This window comes from Homo sapiens, chromosome 6 (genome assembly GCF_000001405.40).
Source record: "Homo sapiens chromosome 6, GRCh38.p14 Primary Assembly".
In the NCBI taxonomy this organism is placed as follows: domain Eukaryota; kingdom Metazoa; phylum Chordata; class Mammalia; order Primates; family Hominidae; genus Homo; species Homo sapiens.
The window spans coordinates 131728411-131749406 of NC_000006.12; the positions used below are offsets into that span (position 1 = coordinate 131728411).

The 20996-nt window shown below is 36.3% G+C and overlaps 1 protein-coding gene across 4 annotated transcripts in view; it reads left to right on the forward strand.

Annotated features, from left to right (window-relative positions):
• Positions 1 to 19000, forward strand: part of ENPP3 (ectonucleotide pyrophosphatase/phosphodiesterase 3) — a 110109-nt gene extending 91109 nt beyond the window's left edge. For 3 of the 4 annotated variants that reach the window (NM_005021.5, XM_017010932.2, XM_011535897.2), the window contains 5 exons: positions 5178 to 5313; positions 8945 to 9022; positions 9621 to 9753; positions 11814 to 11970; positions 18376 to 19000. In NM_005021.5, the coding sequence (NP_005012.2) occupies positions 5178 to 5313; positions 8945 to 9022; positions 9621 to 9753; positions 11814 to 11970; positions 18376 to 18546 (675 nt within the window). In that variant the 3' untranslated portion in view covers positions 18547 to 19000. The remainder of the gene's footprint in view (positions 1 to 5177; positions 5314 to 8944; positions 9023 to 9620; positions 9754 to 11813; positions 11971 to 18375) is intronic. The other variant, NR_133007.2, reaches the window with a different exon arrangement.

The following is a 20996-nucleotide window of genomic DNA, read 5'->3' on the forward strand; positions in this document are numbered from 1 at the left end:
TTTAATACAATTCTTCTTTGTTATTGTTTTAAAACTAGCTTCCTTGTTACCAAAAGTTCCTGTCCTTTCACTGATCCCACAGAAGTACTTGTGTATTTCTCCTTCCCTGTGACAGGATGGAATTCTAGCAATTTTCTGCTTTCTAATTCAGAAATTACTCTGTTAGTGTGTTGTGGTTCAAGAAAATTACATACAAGGATGTTTTGGGATTCACATAAAAATGTTGTAAATCAGCTCTGTGTTTCAAAAAATCAGGCTTAAATAAGCACTTTTTGGAACATGGACCCAATTGGTCTTAGCCTTTAAGATTTATAGAGCTTTTGTTTTTCTGTGGTTTTGGTGGGTTTTGTAATTTTTGTTGTATCTCAGAAGAGTTCTGGGGAAGTAGTTGTGATTTGAAATCATGGTCGTAGAACAGCTGATTCAAAACCATTAAGGTTAGTCAGACCATACATAGATTTTGCTTCTGGGCCTGTTCAGAAGGAAGATATGCACTAGTGTTCCTGTTGCTAGGTGATAAATTGAAAATAAGAGCAAGAATTGTGATTACTGTTTAAAATAGGTATTTCAGAATTTAATATGAAATCAAATAACTTTTCAGAGTAGAAATCTAGTGTACTTTGAAAAATGCCTCTCTGTCTCCCTATGTATCTATGTATCTCTCGCTCTATTTACCTATCTATAGCTATATGTCTATCTATCTGTCAATCTACACACATATCATTCCATGTTAAAAAGCCTTTTTTCTTGTTTCTAAAGATTATTTTGTGAGTCTTTGAAACAGGGGCATTATTGTGTGTTGCAAACATTTTTGAACTATGAAAGAATTATTTTTCCCTGTAGAAAATAAATCATACAACCAAATAATTAAAAACATACATAGTTATTATCCTTACCGTAAGGCAAAATTGTAACTATCTAATCTTCAAACAAGTAGGTTTTAGCTTGTACATTCAGCCTACAGGTAAGAAGCATCTGTAACTTCAATAGAAATAATTTTATCCTCTGTTCAGGTTCTACTTTGTTTCAATGCCAGACTAAAAGTACAAGCAGCTCACGTTCCTGTCTATACTCATCATTTACTTCTCCAGTAAGATTTTGAGAGCTAAAAAGTTCATATTTTATCTGAGTGTCTGAATTATATTTATTGCTTTCCTGACTTTCTATTCCGTTGCTTCAAAAATTCCAGGGAACTCTGATAGGATGGCAGGATTGAAGCTGTTTATGTGTTGGAGGCGGGGTGGTGGTGGTGGTGGTTCACTAAAGCCTTTTTTATTATAGAAAGGACCTTCCTGTACCTCCCCTCCATCCTTCTAATGGGCTGCCTATTGCATAATCTCGCCTGGATAAAGGAGGCCACATCCTCATTCCTAGTACTGATGCACTTTTATTTGAGGGTTCAAGTTTGGTATGTAAGAAATAAATCTCAAGATTTTCGGTTAGCAGAAAATGTGACTTTTTTTTTTTAGTACTTTCTGGCTGAAGCTATCCCAGTTCATTTCCCCCAGCACAAAGTCTAAGCTACTTTGAGAACATGGTAAATATTTTGACCAACTAAGTTGTTTAAGCACAACTTTTACAGCCACAGCCTCATTAAAAATTACAATAAACTTTCTTCGTTAACATTTTTATAATTTTAACTGTTAAATATAAGCATCTCAATTTCCTTACATTATGGAAAATGCATTTAGGGCTACATTTATATACTGTATATTTCTTCAAGTAAAACTTACTAATGTGAAATGTTTGAGTACAACGATAAAGATGTGTGTTAGGAAATATCAAACTCACAATATACCAGCGGTCTATGGGGCCAACTTGGTCAGCAGTCACCATTCCTTATTTTCTAATTTTACAACATACTTACGTAGCCCTTATACCAAGTGGAGAAACCTGGTCACTCAGAACTGTATACTATGATATGTTTTTGAAAGAATATAAACAAATGCTTTTAGCTTTCCAGACTCTGCCACCTGAAGGAGAGTGAAATAAATGGTGAGAACTCATCCAACACATTTAGCACAAACGTCTTCGTATTTCTTGGTTTACTTCTTGTTTTGGTGGACTATATCACTCAGGAGCTTCCTGAGAAAGAAAAAGGGGAAGATACATTCTTGAGAGTTTTTGTGTCTCAACATGTTTTTACTCTGCCTATACACTTAATTGGTGTTTTAGCTGGTTTCAGAATTTTAGAAATAATTTTTCTTCAAAATTAGTAAGACAGGTCAAGCGCAGTGGCTCACGCCTGTAATCCCAGCACTTTGGGACGCTGAGTGGATGGATCACCTGAGGTCAGGCGTTTGAGACCAGCCTGGCCAACATGGCAAAACCCTGTTTCTACTAAAAATACAAAAATTAGCTGGGCGTGGTGGCGCATGCCTGTAATCCCAGCTACTTGGGAAGCTGAGGCAGGAGAATCAGTTGAACCCAGGAGGCAGAGGTAGCAGTGAGCCAAGATTGTGCCATTGCACTCCAGCCTGGGCCAGATAGTGAGACTCCATCTCAAAAAAAAAAAAAAAAAATTAGACTTCCTGGGCTGATTCTCTAATGTGTTTGAATTTTTCCTATTTTTCCCATCTCTTTGTCTTTAATTCCACCTTTTGAGTCACGTCTGCAACTTCATCCTCTAGATCTTATTGAGTGTTTTCTTTTGGCTGTCGTATTTTGAAATCCCAAGAGCTCTTTCTGTTACCTTTTCTCTTTTTAAACATTGCCTCTGTTCCTTCTTTATGGATGCCATATATACTCTCAGCTCTCTGAGAAAAGAGTTTTCTTCTGGCTTCTGCATTGTCTCTTTTTCTTCTCCCTTATTCCCCAGTGTCTAGTGGTCCTTGGCTGTCAGCTTCTATTTTAAGAGTTAGGCACTAAACTATATGGCTGGGTCTTTCCAGTCTATAAGCTTCACTATAGGTTGATCAGGAAGAGAACCAGCCATTTTGTTGAGGACTCCAAACTGACAGTATCTAGTTTCTTTTCAGGCTGGTTGTTTTCCAAAGAGAGGATACTTCTAATCTGACTCAGCATATACAATTTTCAGGCTAAATGGGCAATGAGATTGGGGAATCTTATCATTCAGCAATAGAGTTTTGTTTAATCTCATTTCTTTCAGTATGGTGCACCTGCTCTTGGCTGTGCCTTGTGTCTTTTAGTCTGATCATCCCTCTGGTTTAAACTCTCCAGAGAGTAAACATACTGTCTATCCCTTTTTGCAGACTTTTTCAATCTATCCTCTATTTCCAGCCTTATGCGAACTCCTGTCTTTAGGACTCCAAGTTCTACCCTTCTGGGGTTCTACAGTAGGACTTCCTTGGTGCTTTTCCCAAACATAAGCTCTTGGTAGTCAGTGTTTACTGGTCTACTAAATCACGTTATTATTTATCTGATTTCCAGCTTCTGAATGTTCCCTGTCATCTCTTGTGTGTTTTCATTATTACTGTCTTCTTAATGGAATTTTAGAAGGGAGCAAGATAAATGTATGTGTTTAATCAATTTGAGAAGTTTTCTAGCTGGAGCTTTGTAGTATGTTAGGGAGTACAGTCTCTGCTTTGCTTTTTCTGGACTTTTCTCATCTTCAGCTCCTACTTGTTCTATACCTCAGCATGGTGCTCTCCTGGCTACAAAGACAGCATACAGTGTATGTTGCCTCTTCCTTTGTGAATTGAACTCAGAGGTTTCAGACAACATAGCTAATTTTGCTTTCAGCACAATGCAGTGAATAAAGGAAGGTCATCCTAATTTAACTTAATCTTCATTTTTTTATAAATTATTTCAAATTTTATTAAGAAAGATATCCATTATGGGCAGTAGAGAGCATACAAATCAAAATGTCTGAGAAAAATAAACAAATAGCAAAATGTTCACTTACCCATGATTATATGCTAATCAAAATATGATGACCACATAATATAGTATTACCTTAAATACTCGAGTTAGGCAGCACATTTACAGGATGTCCTCTTGGTAAATAAATTATTGTACTAGTCTTTAAATAGGGCTACAAAGAAATTATTATTATTTTTTAAGACGGAGTCTCTCTCCGTTGCCCAGGCTGGAGTGCAGTGGCACGATCTCAGCTGACTGCAACCTCCACCTCCCAGGTTCAAGCAATTCTCATGCCTCAGCCTCCCGAGTAGCTGGGATTACAGGCACCCACCACCACACCTGGCTGATTTTTGTATTTTTAGTAGAGATGGGGTTTCACTATGTTGAACCTCGGACTCTTGACCTCCAGTGATCCACCCGCCTCAACCTTCTAAAGTGCTGGGACTACTGGCATGAGCCACCAAGCCTGGCCTAAGACATTATTATTATTATTATTATTATTATTATTATTATTATTATTTTCAGATGGAGTCTCACTCTGTCACCCAAGCTGGAGTGCAATGGCCCAGTCTCAGCTCACCTCCGCCTCCCGGTTCAAGCGATTCTCCTGCCTCAGCCTCCAGAGTAGCTGGGATTACAGGTGCCCGCCACCATACCTGGCTAATTGATGTATTTTTAGTAGAGACGGGGTTCACCATGTTGGCTAGGCTGGTCTTGAACTGCTGACCTCGTGATCTGCCTGCCTCGGCCTCTCAAAGTGCTGGGATTACAAGCATGAGCCACTGAGCCCGGCCTGGCCTAAGAAATTATTTTAAAAATTCTTATATTTCATGATGAATGAAGCATGGCTGTAAATTTATTTATATTCAAAACTAATTTGTTTAGACAACTACACCTTCTTTGAATTAATCTTAGGTTGATAAAAAGTTCTTGAACAGCTGAAGAATAATATATCAATACTTAGTTTATATCAATATTTTAAAAGTAAATACATTTTACTTTCAATTTTTATTTAAAAGTACAATATACATCACCACATAAAAGTTAGATCTTGAAAAGGATTTTAGTTTTTAGGAATAGTTCCCATTATTCCTCTGCTCTCAATTCAGGTTTCACTGTGCAAATATTTTTTTCCAAGGTGTATTTGATTTGCCCTCCCGATGTCCTTAACCAGAAGGGAACCACAGAAGAAAACACTGCTGAAGACATCCATTCTCATTGCTTGCGTAGACCTGATTCACTAAGAAAATAGGAAAAGCTTAAATGAAAAACATTCTAGGGAAGTGACAAACCATATAAGGCAATGGGTGAGCCGCAATTGTGGGCGTAATTTTTTTCTCTCTCTCTTTGAACAGGGAGACACATCGCCTCTGCCTCCCACTGTCCCAGACTGTCTGCGGGCTGATGTCAGGGTTCCTCCTTCTGAGAGCCAAAAATGTTCCTTCTATTTAGCAGACAAGAATATCACCCACGGCTTCCTCTATCCTCCTGGTTAGTAGAACTCTTTTTTAGAGCAGTAGCTTAGAAAGCTCTCATCAGCTGGATGTGGGCATGTGCCTTAAACATATACTCCCCACCAAAACTACCTGCTTGGGTAAGCTAGCTGCCTGAGAGGCTTCCAGTGGTTGTGGCTGGCCAGAGCAGCACAGCGGCTGTAATAAAGACTAAGACATTTTGCAGTGGGACCCACACAGCAGCTCTCATCTGGCCCAGATGTTTAGAGAGTTCGGCAGGTTTAAGTTTAATTTTAAAACTGGAGATTCTTTGCAGAAGGACACAAACATCTAAAAACCCATTTCTTCTGACTCCTGCCCAAGCTAAGGTCCACCTGGAGAATACAGCTGTGCCCGTGAAAAGAAATCAGGCTGGGTGCTCGCTTTGGCAGAACATGTACTAAAATAGGAATGATACAGAGAAGGTCACCTAGTAAAATAAAATAAAATAAAAAAAGAAATCAGGCTGGAATTTTGGCCTGTCGCTCATGCTGTAGGGCTAACAGTTTTAAACTGCAGGTGAAGTAGCCAAATGAAATTTAAGTTTTTGTTGTTGTTGTTGTTGTTGTTTTCAGAAAGAATCTCTCTTGGGAACCTGCCAAAGCTAGTGTGATTTTCCTAAAACTCAAGCCACTTCCCTGTGCAACAGGAAACGTCATTTTTATTAACTTGCCTATGAGATTTTCAACAATTTCACCTTCTTAGAGATTTGTAATTTAAAGATTCCGAAATGTATAATGGGCAAAAAGGTTTAATGAAAGCAAGTAGCGTTATCAATTTAAAACTCCTGAGTTAGGATAAATTAACTGATAAATTTTATGTATCTAGATACAATCAGGGGGTACCAAATTTATGTAAGCCCTGTGATAAACATTAAAAATTTGCAACAGGCTGGGTGCGGTGGCTCACGTCTGTAATCCCAGCACTTTGGGAGGCCAAAGTGGGTGGATCACCTGAGATCAGGAGTTCGAGAACAGCCTGGCCAACATGGTGAAACCCTGTCCCGTCTCTACTAAAAATAGAAAAATTAGCTGGGTTTGCTGGTGCGCACCTGTAATACCAGCTATTCAGGAGGCTGAGGAATGAGAATGGCTTGAACCCGGTAGGTGGAGGTGCAGTGGGCCGAGATTGAGCCACTGACTCCAGCCTGGGTGACAGAGTGAGACTCTGTCTCAAAAAAAAAAAAAAAAGTTGCAACATTTTATTAATAAAATATTTGAAATTTGTGTATAAAATTGTATCTGTTAGGCCATAAGATATTAGTTAATACATCAATGTTTGCCTGACAAGGAATAAAATTAATAATTAAACAACTTGTCTCAAAAAATTAAGGATACGGCCAGACACGGTGGCTCATGGTCATAATCCCAGCACTTTGGAAGGTCGAGGCAGGAAGATCACAGGCTCAGGAGTTTGAGACCAGACTGGGCAACATAGTGAGATCTTGTCAGTTAAAAAAAAAAAATCAAGGATAAAATTAAACTCTCTTCTAACTCTCCAGTATAAATTCCAATTATTTGTTAAAAATAGAAGTTCTATTACTAGCACGTTCTTATTTTCCTCTAAAACAGAGGTAATGTTATGTTGATTGACTTTCCAACTTTCAGGGCTTAGTTAAAAAGGTAGAAGAGGCTTTTTGTGGAGTCTGAGAACTACAAACACCATATGAAATCTGAAGAAAAAAGAGCTACTTGTTTCTTCTTGTCTTTTGGTGCCTACTTATTGGCCTCTCATTGAATAATTAGTTACCCAGGCAGGATGGTGCATGCCTGTAATCCCACCTACTCGGGAGGCTGAGGCAGGAGGATCGCTTGAGTCCAGGAGTTCGAGATCAACCTGGGTAAAATGGCCAGACTCTGCCTTAATAGTAATTAAAAAAAATAATTAGTTAAGATATCCAAGTACAGTTTAAGTATAAAAAGTATTATAATAGAAAATTCATATAAGTGGAATTGTGCACTATATGTGTTTCTGTGACTGCCTTATTTCACTCAATGTCCTCAAGTTTCATTCATGTTCTTATATATTACAGAATCTAAAATAGTCAAATTCATAGAATCAGAGAGTGAAATGGTGGTTGCTGGGGGCTGGGGGAGGGAGAAATGGGGAGTTCCTAATTAATGGGCGTAAAGTTTCAGTTAAGCAAGACAAATAAGCTCTGGGGATCTTCTGTACAGTATTGTACGTAGAGTCAACAGTACTATACTATATACTTAAAAAATTGTTAACAGAGTAGATTTCATGTTAAGTGTTCTTACCAAAATGAAATCAAATGAAAAAGGATTTGAATAAACATTTACAGGTTTGCAGCTTTTAATCCTCACAATAATTCTATGAGATAGATGCCATGAGACAAATGAAGCACAGAGGGATGCAGCACTTTGCCCGAGGAGTGCAGCTGTGAGCAGCGGAGCTGGGGTTCCCACTTGGGCTGTCTGCTTCCAGAGCACCCTCGCTGAACACTCACTGTGCTAGACAGCACAGCCATAAATCCTCAGAGCCCATGATTTGTGGTGTTCCCTTCAGCAGTCTCTATTAGTCAGTTCTCATACTGCTAATAAAGGCATACCTGAGACTGGATAATTTATAAAGAAAAGGGGTTTAATGGACTCACAGTTCCACATGCCTGGCGATGCCTCACAATCATTAGGGAAGACAAAGGAAGAGCAAAGAGATATCTTACATGGCTGCAGGCAAGAGACAGCGTGTGCAGGGGAACTCCTCTTTATAAAACTATCAGATCTCGTGAGACTTATTCACTATCACGTGAACGGCATGGGAAAGACCTGCCCCCATGATTCAATTACCTCCCACAGGGTCCCTCCCACAGCACGTGGGAATTATAGGAGCTACAATTCAAGATGAGATTGGGGGGGACACAGCCAAACCATATCAGTCTCTATCAAGTAAAAACTCATTTTCTTCAGAAAATTTTATTTTGGAAGACAGCTATCTATAATAACATTATTATTTTGTGCACATCCAATAACTACCCATTTATATCTGGCATTCTGTTTGTTTCCTAGGGCTGCTGGAACAAATTACCAAAAAAGGTTGACTTAAAACAAAAATGTATTATCTCACAGTTCTGGAGGTCAGAAGGCTAAAGTCAAGGTGTTGACAGCCATGTTCTTTTTGAAGGCTCTAGGGGAAAATCCTTCCTTGTCTCTCCCAGCTTCTGGTGGCTCCAGGCATTGCTTGGCGTGTACTGGTATCACTCAAACCTCTGCCTCCATCTTCACAAGACCTTCTCCCCTGTGTTTCTCCTCTTCCCAAATCTCCTTCTCCTTATTAAGACACTAGTCACTGGATTTACAGTCCACCCTAAATCCAGGATAATCTCATCTAGAGACTCCTAGCTACATCTGCAAAGACCTATTTCCAAATAAGTTTATATTCACAGGGATGAAAGGAATGGTTAGGACTTGGATGTATCTTTTTTGGATCACACTTCAACCCACTACAGGCATAAAACTGCCTGCATTATTAACAACCTCTGTTAGAAAGTACTACTTCTGTGCTTTGACTGTTAATAAATTTATATTAATATGTAATAGTAGTATGCCTGTTGTGCAGTATGTCATATTTTCTCTTATAGCTAGATCTAATAAGATCCATTTGTTTTGCAGCCAGCAATAGAACATCAGATAGCCAATATGATGCTTTAATTACTAGCAATTTGGTACCTATGTATGAAGAATTCAGAAGTAAGTATGAATTTAGAGTATTAATTTTAAAATAGTTAAGTGACTCCTTGAACTTCCAAACTAAACACATATTTTTTTAATTGCAATTTGTTCCTGATATTAAGGGTCATTTTGTTCTAATGGTTTAAATATAGGTATAGGAAGGATCCCTCACATAGTTTCTTTTCAACTTACTTTGACTTTGAGTGACTTGTTGCTAGAATTCTGATAATTTGTTTTTAAGCCTTAATTTGATTACTGCCACTCACTAAAAGTAAATCAAATGTAAATGTTTATCCCCAGAGTAATAATTAATAAGGCAACATGTGTGTTCTGATCATTTTTAACACTCGCTGTCCCATAAGCAACTCAGCCCTAGGGAGAAATTTGAAGGCATATTTAACTGTAATTTCAAGACAATAACTACAAAAACAAAAAGCTATCATCAATGTGGCTGTTTATTTTTGCTTGTGAAGCCTATTCTGGAGAATTACCCAATCATCACTGGCAATTATTAAGGCAGAATTTCATGTTATTTAAATGTACTTGTCTATAATAGAAAATAGTGTCATATTTCACTGAAGTGGACATTTTAAACACTTTATGATTTTATTTTTAGAAATGTGGGACTACTTCCACAGTGTTCTTCTTATAAAACATGCCACAGAAAGAAATGGAGTAAATGTGGTTAGTGGACCAATATTTGATTATAATTATGATGGCCATTTTGATGCTCCAGATGAAATTACCAAGTAAGTGATTTGACTTTTTGATTTATCAATAGGGTCTCATGAGGGGAAATTCCAATATTTTAAGTAAAGCTCAGTATTTTAAATATTACATAATACATTCACAGACAAATGTTATTGTTGACTATTTTCAATCTAGTCTATCTAAATATTTAGGAAAGCTTATATTGCAAAAAATTTAAACTAATGGGCAAAGAAAACACTTCCTGGAAAAGTTTAGCAAAATTTTATTTGGAAAATTGCTGAATTAATGGGCAAAGATAACATGAAATTTTGTAAAGGCTAAGGAGGTAGACAAAACTTGATGTACTATCAATGAGTATAAAACCAATCCAACAGTAAATGAAAAAAAAGTCGAGTAAAGGCTAAGGTAAATTTTACAAGAATAGTGAAAAGTCAAGTAAAGACTAAGGTAAATTTTACAAGAATAGTGAACAGTTCATAAAAGCACTTCCCAGGAGACAATGTAGGTAAATTTCATGCAGAGAACTAGTCCTAACTAAACTGTACATTTTAGTATTAAGCCTGGTCATAACAGGTTGCTAAGAATTAGTTTTGAATGCAGAGCACAGTAATAGAGTTTTAGAGAAGTTTCATCTACCATTTCTCTTTATTATCAAAACATATGAAGGACCAAACTAAACAATTGTACTGTCTAAGCCTAGATTATGTAAAGCAATGATTTCTACCTATACCTTCTGATAAAGTAACATTTATGACTACCAAGTGTGTGGCCTTTTTCTATTTTGTTCACCATGTCCTTATTTCAGTGTTGAATGAATACTGAATCAATATTTCAGTATTGACTCTACCTTTCACAATTTATTAATTCTAATAATTCAAACTTTGACAGCATTTTCTATATGCTAGGTACTTTATAAAGAACTCACATATACATCAGTTAAACTGCAAAGATACCCTAGTTAGGTTCCATTAGCCCCCAGTTAGAGTTAAGGAAACTGGGGTTAAACAACTTATCTAAATTCTGCAACTAATAAGTGGTAAAGCCAGAATATGAACCCAGACAGCCTGGCTCTGAGTCCATGTTCTAAATCACAGTAATACATTTCTATTTATACCAGCTTGTATTCCTTTGGTGGAGTCAGACTTTGCACTTAAAACTTTTGAAAGCACTTTCATGTTCGTTATCTGAAACCGAAGTACTGTCACATCAGTTGTATGGATTTATCCCCATGTCTACACTGTGAAGTTGATAGCACAGAATCACTTCCTTGGAAAGCTGAGGAAACTCGAAACTCGGTAAATGACAGAATTAGAGGGTGAATGAAAGTCCAAACATTTTGTGGAAGTGCACGGCTGGAGGTGGAATCTGGGCTCCTTCATTCTCAGCTTCTGCTGTATTAGTAAACACTACTGTGAAGTATGAAGTCAACAAAACGAGGAAATGCAGGAGGCAGAATATCATGCTCTGCTTTTTTTTTTTTTTTTTTTTTTTTGTATTCTAACATTTTTTCATGTTAGAATGACCAAGCTTGGACTTCTACTGTAATCTCTATTCTGGCTGATGGGAGCAAAAAATATGTAAGACCTTGTGCTTTTTATTTATTACTTTCTTTTACTATATTTTTACTTTGGCATTTCTTTAAAACTATATAAAGACATTTATTGGCCTGGTGCAGTGGCTCACGCCTGTCATGCCAACACGTTGAGAGGCCGAGGTGGGAGGATCATTTGAGCCCAGGAGTTTAAGACCAGCTTGGGCAACAAAGTGAGAACCCATCTCTATTAAAAAAAAAAATCCAAAGTACCATTAGAAGTAAATATATATATATATGTGTGTGTGTCTTTACATAGTGTTTTTCATATATATATTTACATATTTATACCAGCTTGTATTCCTTTGGTGGAGTCAGATTTTGCACTTAAAACTTTGTATGTAAGTTATTTAAAAAGTACCTAGCATATAGTAAAATGCTGTCAAACTTAGAATTATAAGAATTATTATTTTACATGTATATGAAAAAAACTATGTAAACACACTTATCACCTTTAGAAACAAAAGTATAATAACATCAAAACATGTTTTCAATTATGTTTGTAAGACATTTAGCCAACACTGATGTTCCCATCCCAACACACTACTTTGTGGTGCTGACCAGTTGTAAAAACAAGAGCCACACACCGGAAAACTGCCCTGGGTGGCTGGATGTCCTACCCTTTATCATCCCTCACCGACCTACCAACGTGGAGAGCTGTCCTGTGAGTATGCTTTGGGAGGGTCCAGGACCCGAGAAAATGAGTCAGAGCTCATTTGGGTTCTCATAAAAGTGGCTCTGACTAAAACATTTTTTTTAGGTGTTTCATGGGAAAAGTTATAACACAAATGACTTCATTTTTAGGCTTTTCCTTAGGCTATTGATCTCTATGTAATTAATATCAATTTAAACATATATCTGCATAGTTGAACATATATATACCCCATGTATTTTATTTATATACGTTTTATTCACATTCACTAATAATGAAAGAGGTGAAATCTTGTTAATCTCTTTTTTCTTTTTTTATTTATAACATGACAATTGTATGTATTTATGAGGATAGTGAGATGTTTGAATGCGTGCATACTTTGTATAATGATCAAATCAGGATAATTAACATATCTACCACTTTAAACATTTATTTCTTTGTGGTAATAGCACTCAAAGTCCTCTCTTCTAGCTATCTTGAAATATACAATACATTGTTATTAACTGCAGCCACTCTACTGTGTAATAGAACCACCAGAACTTATTTTTATTCTGGCCACAAATCTTAAAGTTCTTCCCAATGTTAGCACTAAATTAATGTTTCTGAATGAGTATATACATGTAAAAATTCCATCAACTTGAACCATGAGGTGTGAAATTGATTATACACACACACACACAAACACACACACACAGTGCAAGTAACATTCTTTTTTTAAACATCATTATTAGGCTACCTCAAAATCCTTTTTGGATCAAGGCAGATTATATGTAAGTAGTTAATTCGACTTGCATATAAATTCCTTATAGAAAAAATATGTATCCTGGAACTTAGGTTTTACTGAAGTCATTCAACAAACATATTGAGTACCTATTAAGCACATAGTATCATGATAGAAACTCTTTAGAATGCACAAAGGAGGAACACATTGTCCCTGCTTTTAAAGAGTTCATATACAACTTCAGTTTATATATGAGATATAGGCACACAATTTAGTCAGTCAATAATACAAGAATTATTCTAAAAACTAAAAAGTAAAAGAGGTTGCAAAGTTGGGATCAATTGACAATTAATGTTAAAAGGATTTAATATTTGAAATTAAAATCACATTTGGCTGGAATGATCAATAAAGATTTCATAAAATAAGGTGTAAGTAGGGCTGTGCCCTGAAAGATGGATAGAATTTGAGTATATTGAGAAGACTACAAAGAGTCTTCCATGGAGGGTGGGTATGAAGAATGAAGAGGATTTAGTAACTGATTGGATACAAGAGCCCCCACCCCAAAAGGAAACTCAAAGATGAATCAGATTTGAATGTTAGTAATTAGGAAAAAGGCAGAAAGAGGAAGGTTGGGAATGAGAACTTTTTGGCAGGTAGATAGGATAAGCTAAGGATAGGCATTTTAAGTTTGTGGAAATGGGCATTGATGTGGAAAGTCCCATAGGCAATTAGAGCCTGAGAATTGAAGCTTGGGATCTAGGCCAGATTGGGATTCATCTATATTCTTTCAGGTGTTCAATGCATGAGTGCCTTCACCATGCTGTGCACTATAGGAGGTGCTCACAATTAGAAATCCAGTAAAATATTAGAAGAAAGAGATAAGTGATGTAAGAGAGGGACAGATAAACTGCTGTAGTAGTATTTCAAAGGAGAATTACTTCTTGACAGGGAGGGTGACATTTCAGTTGGGTCATGTAGATACGATTTTACTTGAGTGTTTAAATTGTCTAAAGAAGGTGGCCAAGTTTAGAGGCTGAATAGTGAGCCACTCACTATTCTTAAAATGAGGAAGAAGAGTTTCTGAACAGGAAACTATCAGGAGATGTTGTTGAATTGAATCCCTTCCTACTTTTTCTGTCAGCATTTTGTTTGGTTGAGACAAGGGTAAGCCATTATTCTTTACTTCCTTTTCCAATGACAGACATCAATGACTGATACGATGTGGTACTCTTTACCATGAAATCTGGATTAAACAGTTCGTTATTACAGAGGTTCTAGGTAGATATGATGGAGTGATTACAATGAGTACACAAAGAAAAAAATATTTGCTATCCCTGGTCTGGGCCCTTTTGACCTTCTATTAGGACTCTTGAAAATGAATCTTAAGTAGATTTGTGGTCTCCTCTCCTCTTCTCATTTGTCAGTGTGCACTACTACCAACTTACTCATCTTAAAATTTAGTTTATATTTTGTCATAGCCTCTCACCCCAAAACTTCTGATTATCCTGAACAACAACAACAACAACAACAAAAATACAAAGAAACAAACAAAAACAACTTCCAGCCTGTACTTAAGTCTCTTCACAATTTACCCTCAGTTGACCTTACAGGCTATAAGTTCCAGGTCAATTGGAGTCCTTGAAATTACTTGAACACATCTTGAGTTTGCTTACCTCATCACTGTTGCCTATGTTCTTCTCTCCTCTAGAATTTCATTCTTTTCCATCTGCTAAAAATTCCATCTGGGCGTCAAGGTAAAGTGCAAATAATATGAAGCTTTCCTTGATTATTCAAAGTAGAAGTGATCTCTCCAAAGTTAACAGAGCATCATCTCTATTGAATAGGACATCATCAGTAATAAATTGGACATATCCAAGATTTTGAGGAATTTGCAGTATAGTAATAAGAATGTGACATCTGTATAGATAATTATTAGACAAAATGCAATGAGTATAAAGAAAACTTAAGCCAAGCTATGATTATAAAAGAGATTGCAAAGTTAATAAGAGTAGCTGTCAATTAGATATGGGGAAGGGAAAGGCAAGATGAGAGAGAGGCAAAGATGACTAAAAATCCAGGGCATGACTGACCAGGAAATGTATACGATAGATTATCTTTTGTTTTGAGAAGGATGGATTTGCTCTTGGTGGTCTTCAGTTTGACAGACTAGTTGAATATTTAGGAGGATATATGAGAAATAGTATAAAACAGAACTTAAATGCATGGATTTTGGAGTTGGACCTCCTGGGTTCAGTGAATGACTTCGTTTCTTTGGGCAAATATGTTAGTTTCCTCATCTATTATATCTAATAAGTATAAAATATTCACCTCCTTTTATGAAGTTTGTAAAGATTAAACAAAATAATCTATATAAAACCCTAAGACTTCCCAATATAAAAAATGGTGGCTATTATAAAGGAATCATATCTTAGGATGAAGTTACATTCTAAAGTCGACAGAGGCCAGGCATAGTGGCTCACCTGTAATCACAGCACTTTGGGAGGCCGAGGCAGGCACATCACCTGAGGTCAGGAGGTCGAGACCAGCCTTTTACTAGAGACCCCATCTATACTAAAAATACAAAAATTAGCCAGGTGTGATGGTGCATGCCTGTCATCCCAGCTACTCAGGAGGCTGAGGCAGGAGAATTTCTTGAAACTGGGAAGTAGAAGTTGCAGTGAGTGGAGATCAGGCCACTGCACTCCAGCCTGGGCAACAGAACAAGACTCTGTCTCAAAATAAAATAAAATAAAATAAAATAAAATAAAGTCAATAGAGAGTGAAATTGAATCTCCTATATGCAAATCATCCAGAAAGTGTAGTACATTCACAAACTGTTTCTTAGTAAGTCTAAACCAGCCAATATTTCCAATAGCATTTGGATAGGTAATTGTGCTTTGATGCACCTGATAAAATAGATGGCTGGCTTTAAACATTGCATTGTATGGAAACTCTGTACTTTAAATATTTGAATTACACAATGTACAGAAGTACTCCTACTATTAAGAGGTTCCAGGGAACTGAGATCAAGCTATAGGAATGATAGATTCACAATTTTATCCCACACTTGGTGTAAGGAATTAGATCATATTTCCTTATTTATTTTGTCCTTTCCTTGTTCCTTTCATCTTTTCTTCCCTCCTTTTTCCTTTTCCCTCCTCCTGTCATCTTTGTACTGTAAAATTCTGTCAGATAAATGAGAATGTAGCCATTAGTCCAAGTGACTTTCATTGTAAGTTACTCAGCAGATATGGAAAATGTAGGTATGGAACTTGGAGGAGAAATCAGAACTGCAGATCTAGATTTGGGATTAAATCATTGGTGTGAAATACAATTGCCAAAGGGGAGAAAGTGGAAAGAAAAGATCCCAAATCAAATTGAGGAAAATATGCTTCCAGGAAGTATAGTCATCTGAGGAAACAGAAGGTATTATCAAACAAGTAAACAGTAGAGTTATGGATAACAAAGGAGGAACTTCAGAAGCCTGGGGTAGCTAACTAATTGAAAAGCCTGAGGACAACCCATTCAGTGAGGTCATCATTGACAAAGTAGTTGCATTAGCATGATAACAGCAATCACTGGACTGTAAGTGGCTAAGGAGAGAGAATAAGAACGTGGATAGGGCAGAAAAATGCTGAAATCAATATTGCCTCAAAAAATGAGTTGTATTTTGGGGATATACAATACTCTTAATTCTGTAACAGGTCATTTATACACACACACACACACACACACACACACACACATATAAATATCAAAGTATATTTAAATATAGCTCATAAAACTGTATAGCCTATTCTGTTGGCATGGACTAGTGCAGCGAGAGCAGTTGTCTACAGCTGGCTTCTGTTCAGATTAGTTGGTGCCAGCGACTTACTCAGGTTAAATAGCTGAAGTATCGTCTCTGCATAAGTATAGTTTTGTGTTATGCTTTGTGGTCATTTCCCTGCAAATTTAAAAAAGGGAAGACTGTCAGGTGCTGGGTAAACATTTAGTTGGATGGATGCCAAGTAAGTCAGGAGAGAGTAGAGTCGTATAAACCAAATGGGAGAAAATGTTATGGAAAAAAAAGTGATCAAAGATATTAGGTGCTGCTGAAATGTGCAATAGTAAAGGCAGAAGAGAAAAACTTCTAATTAGATTCCCATTGAAAGAAATAACTCTAACATGGCGCATTTTTTTTTTTTTAATATTAGCTCGCATTGTGAATCTGACACAAGTGCTTTAATGGTTAGGAACAAAAAGTATTTCCTCTTACTCTTCCTCTGGCTCAGATAGTGGCTATCTGTATTAAGCCTGCATACTTAAACAAGTAAACCACTGCATCGAAGTCAAATGAGAATCATGAAAACACAGTAATCTGATTAAATAAACTTTGAAACTTTCTTATTATGTGAAAAGTTAACTGAACTTTAGCAATATCATATGAATACCAGAAAATTATTCTTTATAATAAAGAATAAAGAATGTCATAGAAACCCATGTTTCTAAATTATTGAACTAACTTTCATATTGTAAAAAAAATCCAAAATAAAAAGGTCAAGAAATAACTGAAAAGATGCATAAATAAACAATAGTCAGCATAATAAAATATAAACAGACATAAAACACTATTTTACACCCACGGTTTGGCAAAGATGTGGGGAAATGGGAATTATCTTTCACTGCCTATAGAACTGTAAATTGGTACGAAGACTTTGAGGAGTGCTAGGTTTAATATCTGATAAAGTTAAAATTGAATGTACTCGGCCGGGTGCGGTGGCTCATGCCTATAATCCCAGCACTTTGGGAGGCCAAGGTGGGTGGATCACCCGAGATCAGGAGTTTAAGACCACCCTGGCCAACATGGTGAAACCCCATCTCTACTAAAAATATTAAAAAATTAGCTGGGTGTGGCGGCGGGTGCCTGTAATCCCAGCTACTTGGGAGGCTGAGGCTGGAGTGCAGTGAGCCAAGATCACACCATTGCACTCCAGCCTGGGTGACAGAGTGACAATGTCAAAAAAAAAAAAATTTGAATGTACTCTATGGCCCAACAATTTTATTAATATATCCTAGAAACTCATGCTCTTGAACACAGGAGGCATATACCAAGTTATTTATTATAGCATTATTTATAGTAACAAAAATTTTATCAATATGTAACGCAAAATTTAATTGTTTTGCATTTAAATGAGGAAATATCACAAACCACAGCTAAGAACAAGTCACTTAACAAGACCTAGATATATCACTATAGATTACAAACGTTAATACCGAATGAAAAAAATTGTAGAATACCACTTATAATATTAACATAAGTTTAAAAACTCATCAGTACTACATATTGTATAGTGATGTACAGTAAAAGTTTGAAAAAACAGACTGGATTCACCCTGATATAAAGATGTTTAGTTCTGAACAGAGGAGCCCTGGGGACTTAACTTCATCTGCAATATTTAATTTCATTAAAAAAATTACATCTGAAGTAAACATAAAAATAGATAAATTTTGACAACGGTGTTCTATGTTAGTTATAGTATACTTTGTACTTGTGTTTTCTTTTTATTTTTAAAAACTAAATTTAGCTGTATCAAATTAAGATTTAAGGAGGTAAAAATCATCGGCAAAAAGACAACTTCTAAGCAATAAAAATATTTCTGTTCATGAAAAATACTGCCTTGTGAAAAAAAAAGTGTTGTGCTTTTCTTTTTCAGGAAGGTAAACCAGAAGCTCTTTGGGTTGAAGAAAGATTTACAGCTCACATTGCCCGGGTCCGTGATGTAGAACTTCTCACTGGGCTTGACTTCTATCAGGATAAAGTGCAGCCTGTCTCTGAAATTTTGCAACTAAAGACATATTTACCAACATTTGAAACCACTATTTAACTTAATAATGTCTACTTAATATATAATTTACTGTATAAAGTAATTTTGGCAAAATATAAGTGATTTTTTTCTGGAGAATTGTAAAATAAAGTTTTCTATTTTTCCTTAAGTCCCCTAAAAGCCATAATTTTTATTATTCCTTTTTCTCTTTTTTCAATTCTATGAATATGTATTATTTTAAAGTTATATTTTTCACACAGAGATGATGCTATATTACACCTTCCCTTTTTTGTTGGTTTCTTAAACTCTAATCTCATGACAGATTATACCTTCCTTATTACTTGTTTTATCTTACTCAGAATCTTTGAATATATTTTTCTGCCCAGAATTATCTAAACAAAAGGGAGAACAAAAGAAGTATGTCTCACTTGGGAACTGAATCAACTCTAAATCAGTTTTGTCACAAAACTTTTTGTATTTGACTGGCAATGCTGATTAAAATTAAAAATGCACAGAACTTTTGCGCTGTTAATTTCACCTGTAAAAACTGTCCCAACAGATGTGCTTGGCACAAATGCATGAAAATGACATCTTTTATGATAGCAAAAACCAGAAAACAACCTAAAAGACTGGTTAAACAAATTATGGAATCTGTTTAAACAAATACTGTTCCATCACTATAAAGACAGAAGTAGATCTATATATATCTTGAATGTATCACTATTATTAAGTGAGAAAGCAAGTGGTAGAACAATGTGTGTAGTCTACTGTCATTTTTCAGGGGTCGGTAAACTTTTCCATAAGGGACTAGATGGTAAATTTTTTAGGCCATACAGTCTCTCTTAAAACTACTTACTCTGCTGTGGCATCAAGAAAGCAGCCATAGATAATACAAAAAAGGAGTAAGAGTGGTTGTTCTATTAGTCTGCTTTCACATGGCTATAAAGAAATACCTGAGACTGGGTAGTTTATAAAGAAAAGAGGTTTAATTGATTCACAGTTTCGCATGGCTGGGGAAGCCTCAGGAAACTTACAATCATGGCAGAAGGAGAAGGGGAAGCAAGCACTTTCTTCACAAGGCGACAGGACGGAGTGAGTCTAAGCAGAGACAGGACAGAGTGAGTGTGAGCAGATAAAATGCCAGACACTTATAAAACAATCAGATCTCATGAGAACTCACTCACTATTACGAGAACAGCATGGGAAAAACTGCCCGCATGATCCAAACACTTCCCTCCCTCGGCATGTGGGGATTACAATTCGAGATGAGATTCAGGTGGGGACACAGAGCCAAACCATATCACCTATGTTCCAATAAAACTTTATTTACAAAAACAAGTGGAGGGCTAGATTGGGTCCCTGGGCTGTAGTTTGTCAGCCCCTGTTTCATATAATAAAATCTGGGCTGGGGGAAGCAGAAATTAATAGTAAAAAAGATAACATTTTTATTTTTTGCTCTTTGTATTGCCTGAAGTTTTTTTTTTTAACTCCTATATGTATTTCTTTCATTTTCAAAATAGAGTTATGAACCAAAGAGATCCCAGCAATTATTTCAGGGTCAATGCTATTGGTCAGATTTTGGGGTTGCTAGACTGGCAATTTTCCAGATATTTCTCTGATATAAAGATCAGTTCATCCAGGGACACAGGCTTTGTAGCTAATGAAAAATCTTGTGACCTGAACTTCAAGGAAAACAAATTCAATTGCTTTCTATTTCTATTAGAATTTCAACTGAATTATGGTTATTAATTACAACCAATTAAGATGTTAGTTTATTCCCACTGGATTTTTTTTAACATAGTTTCTTCACATGTAGAATTTAGGTAAAAAATTTATGCAGTGCAAAATGTGCAATACAGAGAGGCTGCAAGTTAAGACACAAATAGGAAATTATTTCCGGATACATAGCAACAATGTTAATACTCTTCATATAGAGACAATTTTTCCAATCAGTGTTCTCCTGCCCCACCATGGCCTGGAAACTAAATAAGATCACCTGGAATTTAGAACTCACAATAGGAAGACAAATGGTGGGTGTTTACAACCCTGAAATGAGTTTAATAACCCTGGATTTCCTCATTACTTCTGAGTTGGTCTGAAAGTGGCTAAGTTGTTGACATAAAAATAAAAAGAGAAAAATTAAAACTATGTATTTTTTTTGAGATGGAGTTTCATTCTGTCACCAGGCTGGAGTGCAGTGGCGTGATCTCAGCTCACTGCAACCTCCACCTCCCGTATTCAAGCGATTCTCCTGACTCAGCCTCCCGAGTAGCTGGGATTACAGGTCCCCGCAACCACACCCGGCTAATAAAATTTCATTTTTTACACAGAGATTGTGCAATATTATACCTTCCTTTTGCGTATTCATTATTCCATTAAAAAAGAAATATGTATATGTAAAGCCAGTTTGAATGAATGAATACTAGTGATTTAATGGATCATGAAATTATAGAGGATTTGGTGTATCTACTTAATAACTTTCAGTATGTAGCCTATATTTACAATGAACT